At 44.2% G+C, this 25,103-nt stretch overlaps 3 annotated features.

The window, feature by feature from the left end:
* Nucleotides 6,171-6,671: an enhancer, noted in NCBI's record as "H3K4me1 hESC enhancer chr12:106605939-106606439 (GRCh37/hg19 assembly coordinates)". NCBI's record gives its function as "activates a minimal SCP1, AML or CMV promoter by ChIP-STARR-seq in primed H9 embryonic stem cells {active_cell/tissue: H9 hESC(primed)}" and the evidence as "EXISTENCE:reporter gene assay evidence [ECO:0000049][PMID:30033119]".
* Nucleotides 18,187-18,236: an enhancer, noted in NCBI's record as "active region_6945". NCBI's record gives its function as "activates an Ori minimal core promoter by ATAC-STARR-seq in GM12878 lymphoblastoid cells {active_cell/tissue: GM12878}" and the evidence as "EXISTENCE:reporter gene assay evidence [ECO:0000049][PMID:35858748]".
* Nucleotides 18,287-18,396: a silencer, noted in NCBI's record as "silent region_4812". NCBI's record gives its function as "represses an Ori minimal core promoter by ATAC-STARR-seq in GM12878 lymphoblastoid cells {active_cell/tissue: GM12878}" and the evidence as "EXISTENCE:reporter gene assay evidence [ECO:0000049][PMID:35858748]".

A 25,103-nucleotide genomic window follows, 5' to 3' on the forward strand; every position in this document is an offset into this window, starting at 1 on the left:
AAAGGCTGTTTCCTCCACCAAGAGTCCTAGAATATTGTCCCTCCATCTTTGTTTACCTAGTCAACTCATTCATTCAACAAATGTGTTCAAGGCATACCATGCTCCAGGCTCTGGGAGACACAGCTGTAAATAATCAAACCTGGCCCTCCCGCATTCAATGAGGCTTAAAGGGGGTGCAGGGTAGAGACAAATAATTTTAAAAAAGTAAATGAATAAGAAAATCAAATAGTAGTAAATTCAGGGAAACAAAAAATAACAGCGCTATATGACAGAGAGTGGAAAGCAATTGGGTATTCAGGGAGGGTCTCCTGAGGAGGTGACTGGCCTGAATGGCAAGAGGTTACCAGCCATGCAAGAACCAGGACAGAGCAGGTAAGAAATGCAAAGGCCCTAAGCTAGGAAGTAATTTGGAGTGTTGGCAAAACAGAAAGACCACTGTGGCAGGGGCATAGCAAGTTGAAGGAGAGAGGCAGGAGATGTGCTTACAAGGCAGGATCAGGGAATCATGGAGGGCTTTGCTGGCCACAGAGCACTGGACTTTGTCCTACTATCTTCAATTCACATGATACCTCCATGTGTGTCCTTCTCTATCCTCCAGAGGGTGTTGAGGAATGGAGGGGCCACTTCTCCTAGCATCCTTTACATGCACCATCTTTATGGTTGAGACCCTTAACACAAAGGTCCCAAAAATTGATTTGCTTCAGGCATCTGTTCTTGGCCTTGCTTCTGCCTGGCTGTGTGACATTGGATAAATTATTCAACCTCTCTGTGCCTAGAAATTCTCCATACATTTCTGTTCCATCCTCTGAATGTTATTTTTTTCTTTTTTTTATTATACTTTTAAGTTCTGGGTTACATGTGCAGAACGTGCAGTTTTGTTACACAGGTATACACATGCCATGGTGGTTTGCTGCACCCATCAACCCGTCAACTACATTAGGTATTTCTCCTAATGTTATTCCTCCCCTAACCCCCACCCCGACAGGCCCCAATGTGTGATGTTCCCCTCCCTGTGTCCATGTGTTCTCACTGTTCAACTCCCACTTATGAGTGAGAACATGTGGTGTTTGGTTTTCTGATCGTTTGCTGAGAATGATGATTTCCAGTTTCATCCATGTCCCTGCAAAGGATATGAACTCATCCTTTTTTGTGGCTGCATAGTATTCCATGGTGTATATGTGCCACATTTTCTTAATCCAGTCTATCATTGATGGATATTTGGGTTGGTTCCAAGTCTTTGCTATTGTGAATAGTGCTGAAAGAAACATACGTGTATGTGTCTTTATCGCAGAATGATTTATAATCCTTTGGGTAAATGCCCAGTAATGGGATTGCTGGGTCAAATGATATTTCTAGTTCTAGATCCTTGAGGAATCACCACACTGTCTTCCACAATGGTTGAATGAATTTACACTCCCATCAACAATGTAAAAGCCATTCCTATTTTTCCACAGCCTCTCCAGCATCTCGTTTCCTGACTTTTTAATGATTGCCATTCTAACTAGTGTGAGATGCTACCTCATTGTGGTTTTGATTTGCATTTCTCTAATGACCAGTGATGATGAGCGTTTTTTCATGTGTCTGTAGGCTGCCTAAATGTCTTCTTTTGAGAAGTGTCTGTTCATATCCTTTGCCCATTTTTTGATGGGGTTGTTTTTTCTTGTAAATTTATTTAACTTTGTAGATTCTGCATATTAACCCTTTGTCAGATGGATAGATTGCAAAAATTTTCTCCCATTCTGTAGGCTGCCTGTTCACTCTGATCATAATTTCTTTTGCTGTGCAGAAGCTCTTTAGTTTCATTAGATCCCATTTGTCAATTTTGGCTTTTGTTGCAATTGCTTTTGGTGTTTTAGACATGAAGTCTTTGCCCATGCCTATGTCCTGAATGGTATTGCCCAGGTTTTCTTCCAGGATTTTTATGGTCCTACGTTTAAGTCTTTGATCCATCTTGAGTTGATCTTTGTATAAGGTGTAAGGAAGAGGTCCAGTGTCAGTTTTCTGCATATGGCTAGCCAGTTTCCCCAACACCATTTATTAAATAGGGAATCTTTTCCCCATTGCTTGTGTGTGTCAGGTTTGTCAAAGATCAGGTGGTGGTAGATGTGTGGTGTTATTTCTGAGGCCTCTGTTCTGTTCCATTGGTCTATACATCTGTTTTGGTACTAGTGCCATGCTGTTTTGGTTACTATAGCCTTGTAGTATAGCTAGAAGTCAGGTAGTGTGATGCCTCCAGCTTTATTCTTCTTGCCCAGGATTGTCTTGGCTATGCAGGCTCTTCTTTGGTTCCATATGAACTTTAGTTTTTTCCAATTCTGTGAAGAAAGTCAGTGGTAGCTTGATGGGGATAGCATTGAATCTATCAATTACTTTGGGCAGTATGGCCATTTTCATGATATTGATTCTTCCTATCCATGAGCATGGAATGTTCTTCCATTTGTTTGTGTCCTCTCTTATTTCCTTGAGCAGTGGTTTGCAGTTCTCCTTGAAAAGGGCCTTCACATCCCTTGAAAGTTGTATTCCTAGGTATTTTATTCTCTTAGTAGCAATTATGAATGGGAGTTCACTCATGATTTGGCTCTCTGCTTGTCTGTTATTTGTGTGTAGGAATGCTTGTGATTTTTGCACATTGATTTTGTATCCTAAGACTTTCTGAAGTTGCTTATCAGCTTAAGGAGCTTTTGGGCTGAGACAATGGGGTTTTCTAAATATACAATCATGTCATCTGCAAACAGAGACAATTTGACTTCCTCTCTTCCTATATGAATACCCATTATTGCTTTCTCTTGCCTGATTGCCCTGGCCAGAACTTCCAATACTATGTTGAATAGGAGTGGTGAGAGAGGGCATCCTTGTCTTGTGCTAATTTTCAAAGGGAATGCTTCTAGTTTTTGCCCATTCAGTATGATATTGGCTGTGGGTTTGTCATAAATAGCTCTTATTATTTTGAGATACATTCCATCAATACCTAGTTTATTGAGAATTTTTAGCATGATGGGGTGTTGAATTTTTCAAAGGCCTTTTCTGGATCTATTGAGATAATCATGTGGTTTTTGTCATTGGTTCTGTTTATGTGATGGATTACGTTTATTGATTTGCATATGTTGAACCAGCCTTGCATCACAAGTATGAAGCCAACTTGATCACGGTGGATAAGATTTTTGATGTGCTGCTGGATTCGGTTTGCCAGTATTTTATTGAGGATTTTTGCATCAATATTCATCAGGGATATTGGCCTGAAATTTTCTTTTTTTGTTTTGCCTCTGCCAGGCTTTGGTATCAGGATGATGCTGGCCTCATAAAATGAGTTAGGGAGGATTCCCTCTTTTTCTATTGTTTGCAATAGTTTCAGAAAGAATGGTATCAACGCCTCTTTGTACCTCTGGTAGAATTCAGCTGTGAATCCGTCTGGTCCTGGACTTTTTTTTGGTTGATAGGCTATTAATTACTGCCTCAATTTCAGAACTTGTTATTGGTTTATTCAGGGATTCGATTTCTTCCTGGCTTAGACTTGGGAGGGTGTATGTGTCCAGGAATTTATCCATTTCTCTAGATTTTCTAGTTTATTTGCATAGAGGTGTTTATAGTATTCTCTGATGGTAGTTTGTATTTCTGTGGAATCAGTGATGATATCCCCTACATCATTTTTTATTGCATCTAATTGATTCTTCTCTTTTCTTCTTTATTAGCCTGGCTACTGGTCTATCCGTTAATCTTTTCAAACAACCACCTCCTGGATGCATTGATTTTTTTTGAAGGGTTTTTTGTGTCTCTGTCTCCTTCAGTTCTGCTCTGATCTTAGTTATTTCATGTCTTCTGCTAGCTTTTGAATTTGTTTGCTGTTGCTTCCCTAGTTCTTTTAATTGTGATGTTAGGGTGTCAATTTGCATTTGCTGAGGAGTATTCTACTTCCAATTATGTGGTCAATTTTAGAATAAGTGTGATGAGGGGCTGAAAAGAATGTATATTCTGTTGATTTGGGGTGGAGAGTTCTGTAGATGTCTATAAGGTCCGCTTGGTCCAGAGCTGAGTTCAAGCCCTGAATATGCTTGTTAATTTTCTGTCTCATTGATCTGTCTAATATTGACAGTGGGGTGTTAAAGTCTCCCACTATTACTGTGTGGGAGTCTAAGTCTCTGCAGGTCTCTAAGAACTTGCTTTATGAATCTGGGTACTCTTGTATTGGGTGCATATGTATTTAGGATAGTTATCTCTTCTTGCTGTATTGATCCCTTTACCATTATGTAATGCCCTTGTCTCTTTTGATCTTTGTTGGTTTAAAGTCTGTTTTATCAGAGATTAGGATTGCGACTCCTGCTTTTTTTTTCTTTCCAATTGCTTGGCAAATATTCCTCCATCCCTTTATTTTGACCCTATGTGTGTCTCTGCACGTGAGATGGGTCTCCTGAATACTGATGGGGCTTCACTCTTTATCCGATTTGTCAGTCTGTGTCTTTTAATTGGGGCATTTAGCCCATTTACATTTAAGGTTAATATTGTTATGTGTGAATTTGATCCTGTCATTATGATGCTAGCTGGTTGTTTTGCCCATTAGTTAATGCGGTTTCTTCATAGTGTCGATGTTCTTTACAATTTGGTATGTTTTTGCAGTGGCTGGTATTGGTTGTTCCTTTCCATGTTTGGTGGTTCCTTCAAGAGCTCTCGTAAGGCAGGTCTGGTGGTGACAAAATCCCTCAGCATTTGCTTGTCTGTAAAGGATTTTATTTCTCCTTCGCTTATGAAGCTTAGTTTGGCTTGCTATGAAATTCTGGGTTGAAAATTCTTTTCTTTGAGAACGTTGAATATTGGCCCCCACTCTCTTCTGGCTTGCAAGGTTTCTGCAGAGAGATCCACTGTTAGTCTGATGGGCTTCCCTTTGTGGGTAACCTGACCTTCTCTTTGGCTGCCCTTAACACTTTTTCCTTCATTTCAACTTTGGTGAATCTGATGATTACGTGTCTTGGGGTTGCCCTTCTTGAGGAGTATCTTTGTGGTGTTCTCTGTATTTCCTGAATTTGAATGTTCGCCTGTCTTGCTAGGTCGGGGAAGTTCTCCTGGATAATATCCTGAAGAGTGTTTTCCAACTTGGTTCCATTTTCCCTGTCACTTTCAGGTACACCAATCAAATGTAGATTTGGTCTATTCACATAGTCCCATATTTCTTGGAGGCTTTGTTCATTCCTTTTTATTCTTTTTTCTCTAATCTTGTTTTCTCTATTTCATTAAGTTGATCATCAATCTCTGATATCCTTTCTTCCACTTGATTGATTCAGCTATTGATACTTGTGTATTCTTCACAAAGTTCTCATGCTGTGTTTGTCAACTCCATCAGGTCATTTTTGTTCTTCTCTACATCGGTTATTCTAGTTAGCAATTTAACTATCCTTTTTTCAAGGTTCTTAGCTTCCTTGCATTGGGTTAAAACATGCTCCTTTAGCTCCGAGGAGTTTGTTCTTACCCACCTGCTGAAGCCTACTTCTGTCAGTTCATCAAACTCATTCCCCATCCAGTTTTGTTCCCTTGCTGGTGAGGAGTTGTGATCGTTTGGAGGAGGACAGGTGTTCTGGTTTTGGGAATTTTCAGCCTTCTTGCGCTGGTGTTTCCCCATCTTTGTGGATTTCTCTACCTTTGGTCTTTGATGTTGGTGACCTTAGGATGGGGTATTTGAGTGGACTTGCTAATCCTTTCTGTTTGTTTCTTTTCCTTCTAACAGTCATGCCCCTCTGCTGCCAGTCTGCTGGAGTTTGCTGGAGGTCCACTCCTGGCCCTGTTTGCCTGAGTATCACCAGCGGAGGCTGCAGAGCAGCAAAGATTGCTGCCTGTTCTTTCCTCTGGAAGTTTCGACCCAGAGGGGCACCTGCCAGATGCCAATCAGAGCTCTCCTGTATGAGGTGTCTGTTGGCCCCTACTGTGAGGTGTCTCCCAGTCAGTATACACAGGGGTCAGGGACCCACTTGAGGAGGCAGACTGACCCTTGGCAGAGCTTGAACGCTGTGCTGGGAGGTCCACTGCTCCCTTCAGAGCTGTTAGGCAGGGATGTTTAAATCTGCTATAAGCCCCTGACTGGGGCTGCTGCCTTCTTTACAGCAATGCCCTGTCCAGACAGGAGAAATCTGGCTGGCTGGCCACAGCTGTCTTGCTGAGCTGCCGTGGGCTCTGCCCAGTTCGAACTTCCCAGCGGCTTTGTTTACACTGTGACCGTAAAACCACCTACTCAAGCCTCAGCAATGGCGCATGCCGCTCCCCCCACCAAGCTCAAAAGTCCCAGGTGGATCTCAGATTGCTTCTGTGCTGGCAGTGAGAATTTCAAGCCAGTGGATCTTAGTTTCCTGGGCTCCATGGGGGTGGGACCCACCGAGCCAGACCACTTGGCTCCCTTGCTTCAGTACCCCTTTCCAGGGGAGTGAACAGTTCTGTCTTACTGGCATTCCAGGTGCCACTGGGGCATGGAAAAAAAGAGCTCCTGCAGCTAGTTCGGTGTCTGCCCAATTGGCCACCCAGTTTTGTGCTTGAAACCCAGGGTCCTGGTGGGGTAGGCACCGGAGGGGAATCTCCTGATTTGTGGTTGTGAAGACCGTGGGACAAGTGCAGTATCTGTGCCAGAGATCCTCAGGCTCAGAGATCCTCAGGCTCAGACCCTCACGGCTTCCCTTGGGTAGGGGAGAAAATTCCCCGACCCTTTGCACTTCCCAGGTGAGGCAATGCCCCACCCTGCTTCAGCTCACCCTCCATGGGCTGCACCCACTGTCCAACCAGTCCCAGTGAAATGAAGCACGTACCTCAGTTGGAAATGCAGAAATCACCCACCTTCTGCGTCCATCTCACTGGGAGCTGCAGACCGGTGCTGTTCCTATTCAGCCATCTTGAATCCCCTCTGAATGTTATTGAATTAACTTAGCCTTGCAGGTAAATCAAAAGGAACAGTAGAATTTTCTCCTATCAGAAAAGTGTGTTATGAGTCCTCCCCCTTTACCACAGTCATGAAGAACGTGGGCTTTGACATCAGACAGACCTCATTTTGCACCCTGGTTTCACTGCTTTCTTGGGCAAATTATTTAATCTCCCTTAGTCTTGGTCTTCTTAGTTGTAAAAACGAGCTAAGAATTGCCCCCACTGTATTGTGTTCCGGGAATGATTCCGTGAAGTAAGGCCTTTTACCACTTAACCATAGTCTTTGCATAAAGCAAACTCAATATATGGTTTCTACAATTTTTCATTTGGTCCTTCCAACACCCTCTGGGCTTAGAATTTTATCTCATTGCTTCCTCTCCAAAAAGGCTATGATGTGCATTGCAAGAATCCCTCAAAAGTTCACCTTCAAATCCTAGTGCAGTGGAAAAACAGGGGGTCCTAAGCTAGGATTCAAATCCCATCTCAGCCACTGTCTTTTCCATTTAAAGCAAGTCCCCTCTGTTCTCACCACATGACTGAAAGAACTGCCTTTCAAAGAAGCCAATAGTAGACAAAATAATGGCCCTCTCACGCTGCAAGATGTACACATCCTGATCCCTGAAGCCTGTGAATATGTTGCCTTACATGGCAAAGAGGACTTTGCATGTGTGATTAAGTTAAAGTCTTGAGAAGGGGACATTATTCTGGGTTATCCAGGTGGGCCCAAGGGTCCAAGGATCCTCATGAGGGTCCTTAAAAGAGTCAGAAAGGGATTTTCAAAGAGAAAAGCAAAGTGTCAGAGGGACTCCAGGTTGATCTGAAGATACTGCACTGCCAGCTCTGAGGGGGGCCAAGGAATGCGGGTGACTCTAGGAGCTGGAAAACACAAGGAAACAGATTCTCCACTAGAGCCTCCAGAAGGAATGCAGCCCTACCAACGCCTTGATTTCAGCCCAGTGAGACGATCTTGAACTCTGACTTCCAGAACTGTGAGAGAATAAAATTTGTGTTGATGTAAGGCACTAAGTTTGTGATAATTAGTCACAGCAGCCAGAGGAAACTGATACAAGGCTGTTCTGTGAAAGGTCTTTAAAAGTCACTCTCAGCCGGGTGCGGTGGTTCACCCCTGTAATCCCAGCACTTTAGGAGGCCGAGGTGGGCAGATCTCAAGGTCAGGAGTTCCAGACCAGCCTTACCAACATAGTGAAACCCCATCTCTACTATAAATACAAAAATTAGCCAGGCGTGGCCGGGTGCGCGGCCTGTAATCCCAGCTACTCAGGGGGCTGAGGCAGGAGAATTGCTTGAAGCTGGGAGGCAGAGGTTGCAGTGAGCAGAGATCATGCCACTGCACTCCAGCCTGGGTGACAGAGCAAGACTCCGTCTCCAAAAAAAAAAAAAGTCACTCTCTGGCCGGGAGCAGTGGCTCACACCTGTAATCCCAGCACTTTGGGAGGCCGAGGCGGGCAAATGACTTGAGGTCAGGAGTTCGAGACCACGCTGGCTAACATAATGAAACCTCATCTTTACTAAAAATACAAAAATTAGCCAGGCATGGTGGTGGGCGCCCATAATCCCAGCTACATGGGAGGCTGACAGGCAGGAGAATTGCTTGAACCCAGGAGGCAGAGGTTGCAGTGAGCCAAGATCATGCCACTGCACTTTAGCCTGGGTAACAGAGACTCTGTCTCAAAAAAAAAAAAAGTCACACTCTGCCTGCTTGCTTTCTCTCTCTCTCTCTCACACACACACACACACCCCATAGCTACTGCTAACATTTAAGGTGAGTGACTCGGCAGGTCAGCTGGTAGTCCATGCTCTAGCAGAGGGGAGCAGTGTAAACCCAAGACTTCACTACCCAGAGGTCAAGGGTCCCTGAAACTTCATTAGACGAGACCCAGCTGTCACAGAAACTAAACTGGGAGCTTCCCATTCACAGCTCCCTGGGAGATCCAGAGCCTGGAGAAGGTCAAGGAATTTCCAATCTTTCCAACAAACACTTATTATGCTTTCCACCCTTACTCAGAACCAAAGATTTTGTCCCAACCAGATCCATCCTGGCAGAAACGCACCATCCGCAGGAATTTAGCACAGCCGTGGCTATTTTGCATCCAACATGAAGAATACTAAGGAAAAAAAAGCCAGCCTTCTTCCAGTGGTCGCTGACAGCATTTCGCTCCATCGTCTGTAATTACCCTGTGTTATTGTTGGTGTCTTGTGTTTTTTTCCCCCATAAACAATGCAATTTGCCTTTGCTTTCTGAGAAAGTTCCTTGGAGAAAGTGCAAAAAAAAATGTTTTTCGGGATCCCTCCCTGTTGTTTCAAACTGCTTGGCTCCAGATTTTTCTGCGGAAAAGTTCCATAAACATTCTACCATGCGGAGAGCTCTTGCCTGGCATGAGGAGCATTGATTTTGGCAGCCAGACGTGTAGCCAGGAGCACACCTGCTAAAGGTAGCCCTCTCCCGTGCTCTGCAAAAGCTGAGGTTAGGTGGGGAAGTGGGCCATTGCAGGTGGCCAGGGCAGAGATGGGAGCCAGGGGCTAAGGCTGGGGCTGGGGCAAAGCTTAATAGGACACACCTGTTGGAAACAGCATCACAAGGGAGCCCTCAAGTCAGCTGGGCACTTTTCAAGACCATGTGCTGTGAAAACGCAGCCCAAGATATAGTGATAATAAAAGGGGGAGAGACTTGTGCAAGGAGAAGGGAGGGTGGGTTGGTGGAAGCCAGTGGAGATGGAAAAAGAAGAATGGAGAGAAAGGAGAGGACAGGAGAGGAGGGGAGGGGAGGGGAGAGGAGGGGAGGTTGAGAAAGAAACTATTAGTGTTGGGGGTATACATATTATTGTTTAGAATTTATGGCTGGGAGAAAGATACACGCGCGCGCAGGCGCGCGCGCGCACACACACACACACACACACACACACCCCTTAAATGCTGACAAATCCTGAGAGATCAGTGTTGTGTGTAGCTCACTTCAGCTCAAGGTCTTCTCTTTTCTGGGACACTTAAGATGCGGGGGTCTCCCTCTTCCTAGCTCACCCTCCATGGCTGAGTCCCCCAGGCTCAGTGGAAAGACTGCTGGATTCAGGACAGTGAGGAGCTGCTCCCTAGCCTCTTGCTTTTTCTTTCCTTCTGCAGCCCCCTCCTAATGAACAGAGGCCCAGGCAAATGGTACCCTGGAGAAGTAAAACCCAAGTCCCAAGCAAGCCTCTAAGCACCAAAATGTGCCCACTGGAGTAGGCTAACCAGACCACATGGAGGAAGCTGCCAGACTGAGAGTGTTATATACCCCGCTAAGGGTCTGAGACCTCAGCTACATGGTAGGTGACAGGTAGCCAGGGAGAGATGCAGGAAAGGAACATGTTAGAATAATGAAGCTGGTAATCTTTGGCTGAGTGGATTAGAGACAGAGAAGAGGAAAAAGTGTGAAAAACAGGAGAATTTTGTGGTTTTTCTATAATGAAAGGAAAAGAATGACAAAAGGAAGGGTTAGAAGTAGTGGCTTTATGAAAACAGACTGATTGGCTTTATCTTTCTCATTTTCATGCTAGAAAACACAGAAAAGGATAGCAAAAATAAAAGTGATGCATAATCCTCCCATCAAGAAATATTTTTGTTAACAGCTTTCCTCAAGTACAACTGGCAGACAATAAAGGGCGTATGTTTCAGGTGTAGAATTTAGTCAGTTCTGACATATGTCTACACCCATGAAATCAGCACCACAATAATACAATGACCATGTCTGTCTCTCCCGAAAATTTTCTCCTACTCTCTTGGAATCCCTCCTTTCCACCCCTTTGCATTTTATCTTCCATGGTGGTTTATTAGCTATAACTTTGGTTTGCAATTTTGGTGGATTTTCTAGGGTTCATAACATACATCTTTTTTACTATTATACTTTAAGTTCTGGGGTACATGTGCAGAGCATGCAGGTTTGTTACAAAGGTATACACGTGCCATGATGGTTTGCTGCACCCATCAACCCGTCATCTACATTAGGTATTTCTCCTAGTGCTCTCCCTCCCCTTGCCCCCAACCCCCCGACAGGCCCTGGTGTGTGATGTATAACATACATCTTTAACTCACAGTCTACCTTCAAGTATATAATGCTGCTTCACATCTAAGAATTGTACAACTATCCTATTTTGCAATTCCTCCCTTTCTGTGTTCTCGTTCTCATATATTTTATTTCTATACATGTTATAAGCTCCACAATAGTTTGTTACTTTGTAAATTTAAAGTCAATTATAGTTTACAGAATTTAAATAATGAGAATTTTTACTCAACATAATTAACAATTCTGAGGCTCTTCATTCTCTTACATAGATTCAAATGTCTACCTAGTAGCATTTTGCTTCTGTCTGGAAGACTTCCTTTAATATTTCTTTTTCTTTTTCTTTCTTTTTTTTTTTTTTTTGAAGCAGGGTCTCACTCTATTGCCCAGGCTGGAGTACAGTGCTGTGATCATGGCTCACTACAGCCTCTACCTCCTGGGCTCAAGATCCTCCCACCTCAGCCTCCCAAGTAGCTGAGACCACAGGTGCATGCCACCATGCCTGAGTAATTTTTGTTTTTTTGTTTTGTTTTGTTTTGTTTTTAGAGATGGGGTTTCGCCATCTTGCTGAGGCTGGTCTTGAACTCCTGGGCTCAAGCCATCCTCCTGCCTTTGCATCCCAAAACACCGGGATTACAAGTGTGTGAGCCAGTACACCCAGCCTAATATTTCTTAGTACAAATTGGCTGGTGATATTAATAAATTCTTTCAGCTTTATTTTGCCTTCATTTTTGAAATGAGTTGACGGTTTTTCTGTCAATATTTTAGATATATTGCCCAATTTTCTTCTACCTTACATCATTTCCAACAAGATATCTGCCGTCTTCTCTTTGGTAGAAAATGTGTTTTTCTCCCTCTGGTTGCTTTTAATATTCTCTACTTGTGACCTGTTTTAAGCAATTGAATCATGATGTATCTTAGTGTAATTTTCTTCATGTTTCTTGGGATTAGCAAGCATCTTGGATCTGTGGGTTTATATCTTTCATCACATTTGAAAAATGTCTGCCATTATTTCTTCAAATATTTTCCTGCTCTCCCCTCTGCTTCAGAGATTCCAATTACATGTATATTTGGCTACTTGCAGTTTTGCCACAGCTCACTAATGCTGTTCGTTCTGGGTTTTTTTCAATGTTTCATTTCCAGTAATTTCCACTGTTATGTCTTCAAGTTTATTAATCTTTTTTCTCAAATGTTTAACCTGCCATTAGTACCATCTTGAACATCATTGTTTTCACCTCTAGAAGTTTGACTTGGGTCATTTTTATAACTTCCATATCTCTACTTACCATGTTCAATATTTCCTCTAGCTTCTAGAACACATGGAATACATTTATAATAATTATTTTAACATCCTTGCCTATAGCTCTTAACATCTGTGTCACTCCTAGGTCAGTTCTAATTGATTGAATTTTCTCTTCATTATGGGTTGCATTTTGCTGATGTTTTGCATCAGCCTAACATTGTGAAATTTACCTTTTTGGGTAAAATTTTGTACAGTTTTTGTATTATTATAAATATTCTCGAACTTTGTTCTTGGACAGTGTGAAGTTACCCGGAGACAGTATGATGTTTTCAAGTCTTGCTGTTAAACTTTATTGAGCAGGACCAGAGCAGTTTTGTTTGAGGCTAATTTTCCCTACATCTGAGTCCTCTGCCTAATGTACTGTGAAGTATGAGGTTTTGAGGTTTTCACTTTTACTGGTGGGAACAGAATCCTAACCCTATGTGAGCTCTGAGAATTATGGCCTTTCGTTCTTTGTTTGTTTGTTTGTTTGTTTTTGAGATAGAGTTTCACTCTATCACCCAGGCTGGAGTGCAGCAGTGCGATCTTGGCTCACTGCAACCTCTGCCTCCCGCATTCAGGTGATTCTCTTGCCTCAGCCTCTCGAGTAGCTGGGATTACAGGTGCATGCCATCATGCCTGGCTAATTTTTGTATTTTTAGTAGAGACAGGGTCTCACCATGTTGGCCAGGCTGGTCTTGAACTCCTCACTTCAAGTGATCTGCCCACCTCAGCCTCCCAAAGTGCTGGGATTACAGGCGTGAGCCACTGCGCCCAGACTCTCATCCTTTTAAGTCATTCTTTCTCCAGCCTTGGATAGTTTTCTAAAACACATGTGCTGATGGGTACTCTATTGAAGATTGGAGGGAGACCATCTGCAGATCTCAGAGTTCTATCTCCTCTGCAGTTCTCTGTCCTGTAACCTCTAGCCATGTTGGCCTCACCAGGCTCCTGGCTTTGCCTCTTCAACTCAGGGAGACTGCCAGAATCCACCTGGGATCTCCCTCCCTGCACCACAGCCTGGGTTGCCCAACTCTCCTCAGTTGGGCAACATATTCCTCTCCAGGCAACAAGCTAGGGCAGCTATAGCACTCATTTCATTTGCTTCTCTTCTCTCAAAGATCGCTGTCCTTCATTGCCTAGTGATCAGTATCTTGAGAATCATTGTTTCATATATTTGATCCAATTTCTTACTTTTTTCAGAAGAGTGGGTAAATCCCCTGCTGTTATTCCACCTTGGCCAGAAGTAGAAGTCAAAATATGAGTTTTTCATTTATTTTCTTAGGGAATTTTCTGGCATACACTCGTCTGTGTTACATATATATAATGTATATATATGTATATATACACACACAAATCTTTACTGGGTGCTTGCTATGTGCAAGGCACTATAGTAGTGCTGGGGATAGAGCTCTCATCAAGACAGACACAACTTACAGCCTAGTAGATGAACTAGGCAAACACGTAACTATATAATTACCACAGTTCATCAAATCTAAGATGCCATTGCTCATAAATTGCACCATTAGTTTATATGCCACTAAAAAAAACACTACCAATGATACTTCTGAGATGCCTTCAATTATAAGATGCATCCCAACTTCAGAGATGTTAGGTGTTTAGAAACATATACACATATCAGAAAGTCAAGGAAATATAGTAATAATTAATTGCAATTTTGATGAGAGCTGAGATAGAGAAATCCAGAATGCCAGCAGGCCACGTATTAGAAAAACCTGACTTAGCCTGGAGAGGCAAGGAAGCCTTATTCACATGCAGCATTTCAGCTGAGATCAAAAAGATGACCTGGTGTTAGCCAAGTGAAGGTGGGTAATAGGAAGGGCATTCTAGGCAGAGGGACTAGGTTGTGCCAAGATGCCAAGGTGGTAAGCAGTTTTGCATTGGTGGGGAACTGAAAGTGCTTCTAGTGAAAACTGAGGGACTGCAATGTGATTTTTAACTTTACCGTCAGAGCAACACAAGCCAGACTGTAAACAAAGGAATGATACACAGTCGTGTATCACTTAACAATGGAGACAAATCCTGAGAAATGTGATGTGTGGTTAGGTGATTTTGTCATTGTGAGAATATCACAGAGTTCATACACAAACCTAGACAGCATAGCCTACTACACACCCAGGCTATATGTTATGGCCCATTGCTCCTAGACTGCAACCTATACAGCATGGGACTGTCCTGAATACTGTAGGCAATTGTAACAGAATGGGAAGTATTTCTGTATCAACATATGTAAACATAGAAAAGGGACAGTAAAAATATGGTATTATAATCCTGCAGGATCAACATCGTATATGCAGTTCATCACAGACTGAAATGTCATTAAGTGGCAAATGACCGTAAGTAAATTTGTCCTGTTGAAACATCACTCCGGCTTCTGTGTGACGGGTGGACTGGGAGAAGCACAGACACTGGTTAAGAGGCAATTACGAGAGTCTGGGAAAGACAGAATGATGGTTTGGACAAGAGTCATGGCAGTGGAAATCAGGAAAAGTTCCCGGGAGATATTTATAGAGATGCATCAATACGATGACCAGCTGTGGACACTAAGGGAGAGGGAGGCACAAGGACTCATGCTTCTGACATGAGAAATTAGATAGATGGAAAAGCCATTTACTCCGATATGGTTCAATGGAGAAGGAGGAGGTTTCAGAGGAGTGGTCAATGAGCTCATTTGGAGCACAGTGAATGTAATAAGTTTGTACCACTCATGGGTTTTTGTTGCAATCAACACAAAACACTCCTGAACATTTGCCACCTCAACCCTGAATGCTCAGTTTCTTCAGTTTCAGTGTAAATAATTCTTTTTTTTTTGGAGACTCAAGTATAGTTTTATTATCTTTCTACATAGAAAACCTAGTTTTAGGGTACATGTGCACCTATGTGCCACAAAGATTCAGAGCTCTAGTCTGAGAGTATGTAATTGGCTAAGAACTAGAAGAGATAACATCTGTGCCCCCTCCCTAAAATAGAAAGGGTGTTTTAATGATGGAGAGTCCACTGAAAGATCTTTAAGCAAGCCTTGGAAGGATATCCAGTGGCTCACGACCAAGCCCTTAGGACTGGTGGAGGAAAAGAAGCCTGCACAGCTCCCAAGAGGAAGTGGTCATCAGAAAGGCCAGAGATTCAGGTGCTTAAATTATTCAGGCAGGAGGTAGGCAAAGTTCAGGTGAAAACAGTCTGTTGTGGATGCTACTAGTGGCATCACCACACCAGGACATTTGCCACCTCAACCCTGGACCCTCAATGTCTTCAGTTTCAGTATAAATAACCTCTGATCATCTCTGCCCCACAAAGACTAGAAGTTCTAGTCTGAGAGCACGTAATTGGCTGAGAACTAGAAGAGAGGATATCTGAGCCCTTTCCCCCAAATAGATGGGGGCGGTTTAATGACAGAGATCTGCTGAAGGATCTTGGAACATCCGGGTAGAAATGACAAGTAAGCATTTGACCAGTGCTGAGCTGGAACTCAGAAGAAAGGTCTGGACTAGAGATAAAACTTTAGGGTCCTCAGCCTGTGTAGGTGGCCTGCATAATGTAGGCACAGATGGCATCACCCAGGAGGAAAACATAGAGCAAGGAGAGAGAACAGCTCACATCCAAGCCCTTAGGTCTGGTGGAGGAAGAGAAGCCTGCACAGCTAGCAAGAGGAAGTGGTCAAGAAAGTAAGAAGAAAACCAGGAGCATGAAGTTGCATGCACACCAAGGGAGGGAGTGGGCACCTGCAGTGAACACGGATGAGAGGCTAAGGGAGATGGGAACAGGAAGAACTCAGATCTTGAAAACTATCGGTGACTTCAGCAAGAACCATCTTGATGACAAAGAGCAGAGTTCATGATACAGGGGATTGAAGAGTGAAGACAAGCAGACAAGGACAGGTGACTCCTTGGAAGGTTTGTCTGTGGAGGGAAGGTAAGGGGTGAGATGGCACTGGAGCTTTTCTTTTTTTGTTGTTTTTTTTGTTTTTTTGCTTTTTTGTTTTCATGAATAGGAGAGAGGCAAACATGTTTAAGACTGGACTGGATAAAGCCAGGAAAGGAGAGGTTGAAGAGACAGGAGAGGAGGAAGAGGATCGAGAGTATCTCCTTCTGGGTGGTTGGGGCCATTCATTCAACAAATATCACTGAACCCTTAGCTACATGCTTGGGCATGATAGCACAGTGGTTCAGAGCACAGTCTCTGGGCCAGGCACGGTGGCTCTCGCCTGTAATCCCAGCACTTTGGGAGGCTGAGGCAGGCGGATCACCTGAAGTCAGGAGTTTAAGACCAGCCTGCCCAACATGGTGAAACCCCATCTCTACTAAAAATACAAAAATTAGCTGGGCGTGGTGGCACATGCCTGTAATTCCACCTACTCGGGAGGCTGAGGCAGGAGAATCACTTGAACCCAGGAGGCAGAGGTTGCCGTGAGCCAAGATCGCACTACTGCACTCCAGCCTGGGTGACAGAGTGAGACTCTGTCTCAAAAATAAAAAGTACATAGCCTCTGGAATGTCTGCATCTTGACTCTGCCTCTTACTAAGTGACCTGGTCAAGTCACATAAGCCATATGAAACTCAATTTCCTCAGCTGTAAATGGAACTAATAATACAACCTGCTTCACACACTTGTGAGGGATGAGTTAAAGCATGAAAATAATAATGGTAAACATTTAATGAGCACTTATTATGTGCTTATGATTTAGTTGTTTCAGACAGGTTGATAAATCCAGTCCCTGTTACTCTACCTGGCCAGAAACAGAAAGCAAGAGATTTTTTTTTTATGTATTTTCTTCTGAGATTTTTTTTTATCAGGATACATCAATCTGTGTAATATAGACATGCATGTATATATTCAACAAATCTTTGTTAGGTACCTGATAATAATGCTGTAAGCACTTTATAGATTTACTTCTCACGAATACTCTATGAGGTAGGTACTATTATAATCACCTCATTTTCCAGGTGAGGAACTGAGGCAATAAGTTTAAGTGCTTTGCCCCAAGTCACACACCCAGGTGGTCTAGCTGCAGAGCCTAAGTTTCTAGCCACGAGGCTATCCTGCCCCCACCAGCTCCAGAAACAAGTCCAAGGGTAATACCAGGACAGCGGGTAAGAGGGCCACAGCCACGGATGCAGGAATAGTCTGGAAAATGGGAAGTGAGGTAGGAGGGCCCTGAACAAGTCTCACCCACCCTATCCAGCGCTCACACTTCTGGTGCTGGCTTTGTGGTGCTAGGTGATTCTGGCAGGATCAGAGGCCAGTGGAGAAACAAATACCCAGAACCATCGAAAATACCCATTTGTCTCTTAATGACAAGCCCTTAGTCTTCCAGAGCACCCACTGAAATGACTCCAATGGAAAGAGACTCTGCCCAGAGTCAGAGGCTGGGAGGTGAGGGGACTGCCAATGGGGTTTCTGAAGCATAACAAGGCATGTTCGGTGGCCGCCTGAGCCAAGCCAGAAAGGGTTCGCCTGCTGACTTCACTTTTCATCTCTGCCAAGGAGCACCCAAGGCCACCACAGACTCTGCAGCAAGCCATTTCTGGAAGGCAGTTCCATCAAGAAAGAAAATAGGCTCTGCTTTTACAAAATGCAGAGATGGGCAAACCACCAGTGTGTGCTATCTGTAACTTTAATTGTTTCTTTGGGATTAAGCACTCCTCCAACAAGGGCAGGAGTGAGCTATAATGTCATGTTGGATTCCAGTCGACTTGGGGTGGTTTGACAGGCTGCCCAACCTGAGCATGTGACCCCAGGGGAGCTGTTTTAAGGCTTTTTTTTCCTCCTGCTGGATTCACTTAGACAGATTTTAGCCCCCAACAAAAGAAACTTTCCAGCCACACCCACCTCCTCCCCCAGCCCTTGCTTCTGGTTTCTTCCTTCTATAACCCACTTGGAATTCTTGGCTGATTCATTCCAGTTCTCTCCTGATGGGATTGCAGAATGTCAGAGCTAGAAGGGGCCATCAGGAAAAATTGGGCCAAGCTTCTTAACGGCAGGTCCCAGCTACTTCCATGCAGTCTGGCCTAGAACCTTCATCGGCTGCAGCTGCTCCCTCCCGGGCCGCTGCACTACAGTGCCCTCTTCTGGTAGTGGATGGCAATTGCCTCTGAGTGGCACCTGATTTTCAGGACTGTCCTGTGGCTCTGACATCTCCTCAGCATAGACTTTCTCTGCAGAGGGGCTCTAGGGGTTGAGTGTGTGGGCTGCCTCTCTGCAGATTTTACTCCCTCTCTCCTGTGCCCCTCCTTACCTCAGCAAGCCCCGGTTCCTTCCCGTGAAGGCTAGGAGGAAAGTAGCCATCTGCAGAAGAATCTGGGGAGGGACTGCCATGGTGGGCTTTAGTTCTTGGCTAGAAGAGCCTCTGTTCTCGGCAGGAGAAGCCAAATTGCACAAGAAAACCCAAAGATCTTCTTTGATGTACAAAGCCATGAAGTCACAGCCCTTAAAAGAGGTCGACAAAGAGCCCAAAGTTTCCATCAGGTTGACAATGTCCATGTAATTCATCTCACTCACTGCAAGGATCAAAACACCAAATGCTTCCAGGAGCCAGACAGGAGGCCTAAATGAATGGAGAAGCAGACACAAGTGAGTGGTGGGAAATGTGAGAATCTAGAGGCCACAGGCCCACCTGAAGACCTCACAATCAAACACAGGCCCACCTGAAGGCACTCACAATCAAACACAGGCCCACCTGAAGGCACTCACAATCAAACACAGGCCCACCTGAAGGCACTCACAATCAAACACAGGCCCACCTGAAGGCACTCACAATCAAACACAGGCCCACTTGAAGGCACTCACAATCAAACACAGGCCCACCTGAAGGCACTCATAATCAAAATTCCAAACTCAACGGGGCACAGTGGCTCATGCCTGTAATCCCAACACTTCAGCAGGCCGAGGTGCAAGGATTACTTGATCTGAGGAGTTTGATACCAGCCTAGGCAACATAGTGAGACCCCTGTCTCTATGAAAAGATCAAAACACGAGCCAGGTGTAGCGGTGTGCACCTGTGGTTCCAGCTACAAGAGAGGATTAAGCGGGAGGATCGCTTGAGCCCGGAGGGTCAAGGCTGCAAGTGAGCTATGATCATGCCACTGCACTCCAGCCTGGGCAATGGAGTAAGACCCTGTCAAAAAAAAAATTCTAAACTCACATTTTGCAGGCCAACAATAGAAGGGCTCATTTCACAAGCCTGGCATTTCAAATTCCCTGCATTTAGTCAATTTCTAAGTACTATTTATTGAGCACTTCACTGTCATGGCCACTGTTCTAAGCACCTCAGATGGAGTAAGCCTCACAACAACCCTATGAAGTAGGCACTATCATTAGCATCATTTGCATTTATAGGTGGGGAGACTGAGGCACGGAGCACTTAAGTAACTGTCCCGATGTCAGACAGATAGAATATGCCATGGCTGGGAACTCAAATAGTAAGGCTCAAAAACTCAACTTATCCAATTTCTTATCTTTTTTTTTTTTTTTTTTTTTGAGACAGGGTCTCACTTGGGCTAGAGGGCAGTGCTGCCGTCATGGGTCACTGCAGCCTTGACTTCCCAGGCTCAAGCAATCCTCCCACCTCAGCCTCCTGAATAGCTGGGTCTACAGACATGCATCACCACACCCGGCTAATTTTTATATTTTTTGTAGACATGGGGTTTTCCGCCATGTTGCCCAGGCTGGTCTCGAACTCCTGGGCTCAAGCAATCTGCCTGCCTTGTCCTCCCAAAGTGCTGGGATTACAGGCACAAGCCACTGCACCTGGCCAGAACCCAGTGTCTTAACCACCAGTACTATACACACAGTACAAGTACATAGTTGTATCCTGGGACATTATGGGAAGCTGATTTTATTACTATGGGAAAGGGAGTATGGTTTAACAGACAAAAAGCAGGCCTTATTAGAGACAAACAGAGTCCGAGTCCTGCTGCTACCACAGACTGCGTGCTCCCAGAGCAAATTAATGACCATTTCTTAGTGTCTGATCAGTAAATCAGAGACAACCACTTTTACTCCCTGGGATAATCGTCAGGGTAAGCGAGATGATAAATGTGTTCCACCTAAAGCATGACATCAAACACAAAACACAATTATGGGTGACTATTACTTAAGTGAAGGACTAAGCATCCAACATTTGACTTGCCTTATTTAAAGGGCGCCACTTGCACTTTTTTTTTTTTTTGTCCTTTTTGAAACAGAGTCTCACTCTGTTGCCCAGGCCGGAGTGCAGTGCTGTGATCTCAGCTCACAGCAACCTCCGCCTCCCAGGTTCAAGCGATTCTCCTGCCTCAGCCTCCCGAGTAGCTGGGATGACAGGCACGTGCCACCACGCCCAGCTAATTTTTTGTGTTTTTAGTAGAGATGGGGTTTCACCGTGTTAGCCAGGATGGTCTCGATCTCCGGACCTCGTGATCCGCCCACCTTGACCTCCCAAAGTGCTAGGATTACAGGCGTGAGCCACTGCGCACTTCTTAACTAGCTTGACATAGGAACGATAAAGGTCTTTCGGTATCTAAACTTCTACTAACAAAAGATTCATATTAAACAAAACCCTTTATTACCTAAGTTTTCAAAAGGGGCTAATTAGTAGGATAGTATACACATTACAAAAGCATTCATGTCACAGAGAAATACACACATAGGTCTTTTAAATAGTGGATTTCTCTGGTATTTTTAATGGTACAATTGGATTTTATCCCCTTTCTGGAACAAGAGCGAAAAATGAAGAAATCATTCCTGTGATCCCTGACTCTGACACTAGATGGCAATAAATTCTCACTTCAATTATGTTCTCTGGGTTCCTACTGCCACAGTCAGCTGATTTGGGGCTATTCCCCAGCTGAAAGTTCAGGGGCTTGAGCCGCTCTGGATTTTTTACTGGTGCATCCCGGCATCTTCTGAAAGTGAATAGTCTTCACATGAGGTTATCCAAGATGTCAGCCCGGCCCGGCCAACATTCCCCATTTCACCCCAATAAATGAGAAAACATTAATTGTGACCCAGTGTGTGCCGGCCCCCATGGGAGCTACAAACAGACCCTTGGTTAAGACAGAAGCCACCCTGGCCCCTAGAGATCTGCTCACTGTCTAGTCCTTTTTCCCTTAGGCCTCCTCCTGCCCACCCGAGGCTCCAAAAGACTCTTGTGCAATGGTTAAAGTCAAGGAAAGTTGGATCTGGAAGAGAACATGAAGATTACTTTATCTCCCCTCACTTTTCAGATGGGAAAACAGATGGAGGCCCAGAGAAGGAAAGTGAATTATCCTAGGCAGCACAGCCCGGCAGGCCAGCATTCGGACCAGAGTCCTGATTCCAGGTGACTTCCCCCATCCCTGCTGTTCTTGTCACACCATGTGAGAACTCCGTCCTGGAGTGCAAACCAAGATCATACCCGTGAATGGAAGAAAACAAAAAGACCTAGCCTTCTGAGTTTCCATGAAGGACTCTGTGGGACAGGATGTGTCCTCACACCAGCAGCCACACCCAGTTGGTAATGCCTCTTTCAACACAACATCACCAGCTATTTGAACACAGGCCGGGATTTCCCCACAGCCCCATTACCCAACAGGTATTGCTCCTGAGTGTTCGCTGCCACACGCGGGGGCTTGCACAGCAAGGCCAGGCTGCCACACCCCTTCCTGCCAAGAGTGGGTTTTGCTGCCTGCAGCAACTCAACTGCCCTGATTCTTCGCTTACTTCTGAGCATTTTGCATCTGTGCTTAGGCCTGGAGCCAAAACAAATTGTGGGGGATAAGAGAAGAAATTAGGCCCTGTCTTCTTAGCCAGTTAGTGTATGAGCTTGGGTGAACAACTTCTCTGAGACTCAGCCTCCCCATCTGTAAAACAACAGAATTAGATTAGAGCCTTCTCTCAGCCTTAGCTTTCTAAGGCCTGTCACATGGCTACTTAGCTATCATTACTATGAAAAGTAATCATGCGTAAATGCAGCACTTCACGTAATATATGTAGGCGTCATTTGTTTTCTGACCTGTACTAGTTTAACTATTAAAAGTATAAGCTTTTCTCTATGTGTTTCTTCCCCTTTAAAAAAAAAAAGTTTAATTACAAAATATTTCTGACCTATGAAAAGATATCAGGAATATGGGGAGGCCAGGCATGGTGGCTGACACCTGTAATCCCAGCACTTTGGGAGGCCAAGGCAGGTGATCACTTAAGTCCAGGAATTCAAGAACAGAGTGAGCAACAAGGCAAGAACTTGTCTCTACAAAAACACAAAAATTAGCCGGGTGTGGTGGTGCACGCCTGTTAGTCCCGGCTACTACTTGGGAGGCTGCGGTGGGAGAATCACTTGAGCTGGGGAGGTAGAGGCTACAGTGAGCCAAGATCGGCCACCGCACTGCAGCCTGGACGTATATATATCACATATATATATACCATCTCCCCATATTTTTTTATTTTTCTGAACAGAGCAAGACACTGTTCAAAAAAATTGTAAAAATGGGGAGATGGATATATATGTGATACACAAACATAGCAAAGTGTTCATTATAGTATCTAAGTAGTAGATATATGAGTGTCCGCTGGACAATTCTTTCAACTTTGCTGTTTGAATTTTCATAATAAAATATTGAAAGGAGAAAAAATGTATTATGAGTGATATCATGAATACTTAGGTAGCCTCCACTCAGCCTAAGAAATCAAATGATCTGAATTTGGATATTCGGTCTCCTAGTCATTTCTTGGTACTTTCACTACAATGTATAGTATTATTTTACACGGTAAAATGTCTTAGTTTTAAGAATTAAGGAATTTCTGAAGTGTCACACTGTGTATTTTGTCTGCAGCTTATTTTTTCACTCAGCATTTTAGTTGTGAGATTCATCCCCACGATATATGAGATTAGGATTTCTTCCTTTTTGTTGTCGTTTTGAGGTCTATTGTATGAACAAGTGATAGTGGATTTACTGATCTTGTAGCTACTTTCTCGGTGTTTCCACTTTTCTTTCTTCGTAAGCGGCGCTGCTGTGCCCATTCTCTCCACGGCTGCATGTCGCCTTGTGCGCAGGAAAGGGGACACAGTGGTGTTCAGGGGCTCTGTGGAGACACACATGGCCTCTAGCACAAGTGACCTGGGTGTTCAAACTATGTCCTCAGGAACCTGTGTTTTGCCGACTCTTGGTTCTGTTTTCTTCTATGCTGGCCTCATTCTCAGTGGACTCTGCACATGTGGTGGCCTTTAGCAGCCCTGGGCATTTATCCAGCTTGGCAGTCCCGGTGGGCAGAAAGCATCCCTTTCCAGAAAGTTCCAGCAGTAGTCAATGGACTGGATGGCGACCTGTATTCCTCCTGCACAAGTCAAACCAGATTTCTGATTGGCCAAACCTGGGTCATGCACTCAGCCCAGTCAGTCTCATCAAAGCCAAATGGACTGAGAGTGGGGAAGGGGTGATTCCCTAACAGAAAACAGAGAAGTGGTCACCAAATGAAGGAGGACTGGATGCTGGGCAGGCAACAACACATGTCCAGGACCCAGCAGTCCTCATGTGGTCCCTTGACCGCTGCACAGGTCACCCTGCATGTGATTATGGTGCCATTTACATGTCTGTGTCCCCTGTTTGGCTGGGAGCCTCTCAAAGAGGAAGACTTCATCTTTCATCTCATCTCCGCTGAGCAAATGCAGCTCAGCACCCAGTTTATAATAAATGACAGTAGGTGGAATCAATCCCTTGACCAAACACATCCTGAAGACGGGGAAGGGCAATTCAACCCTCTGCCTCTGAGGTTTTAGGTCCTCCCTCTGTGAACCCAGTCAGAGGGGTATGACGAAGAAAACGTCCACTACACCTCACCCTCTCTTTTTCTCTCTGAGTTACTGACCATCAGGACAAATGCAGTGTCCAGTTCAGAAGTCAGTATGTTCTCAAACAGCTGCCCTTTATTGAACACCTACTATGTCTCACACTTTTTTTTAATATATGGCTGGGCAAGATTCATCCAGATAGGAATGTTTCCAGCCTTCTGTGAATATGCTGAAAACAACTGTACACTTTAATAGGGTGAACTTTATGGTATGTGAATTTTATCTCAGTAAAGCTGTCATTTTTTAAAAGAAATACCAAGTCTTATATGGTATGATTTCATCTCTACAAAATTCAAAAATGGGCAAAATATTCTATGGTGATAGCAGAATAGTGGTTAGGTTAGAGGGTATTGACTGAGGAGCACGGGGAGCCCCTGGTGTGCTGGAAAAGTTGCATATCTTGATCTGGTAGTGAGTACATGGAGATATCGTGTGCAGAAATTCATTCAGCCATATATTTCAGATGTGTGTGCCTTAAAGCACCAAAGTTGCACCTCAACAAAAAGTAATCCCAAACAGTGATGTCTTTTTAAGTGAAGAAAAGAAACCAGTTCTAGAGCAGTACAAAATTTTAATGGTTTACCATTAAAATGTAATGGTTTGCCATTACTTTTAATGGCAAAAAACACGATTACTTTTGAACCAACCTAATAACTCAAGCTATTGGGTTCTAAACCTGGCTACCCCACTTGCTAGCTATGACTAGGAAGTACTTTGTCCAAGTTACTGAATCGCTCTGTACCTCAGTTTCCCCATCAGTAAAATGGAGAGGCCAATAGTACCTACCCTTAGGACTATTATAATGATTGAATGAGATAATCCTCGTAAAACCTTTAGAGCAGTGTCTGGCACATAGTAAATGCTCAATAAATTTTAGTTATTTCTGTTATTATTGATGTGGGCCAAGCACAATGATCTCTGTGGATGCAGAGATGAAAGACAGAGCCTTATTCTCATGTGGAACACACCAGAAGCAAGCGGTCATGATACAGACAGAGGAGCACTTTGAAGACAAGAAGCCTGGAGTGTGGGCTCTCGTGGGAGGAGCTCCCAAA

This window comes from Homo sapiens, chromosome 12 (genome assembly GCF_000001405.40).
Source record: "Homo sapiens chromosome 12, GRCh38.p14 Primary Assembly".
Taxonomy (NCBI): Eukaryota; Metazoa; Chordata; class Mammalia; order Primates; family Hominidae; genus Homo; species Homo sapiens.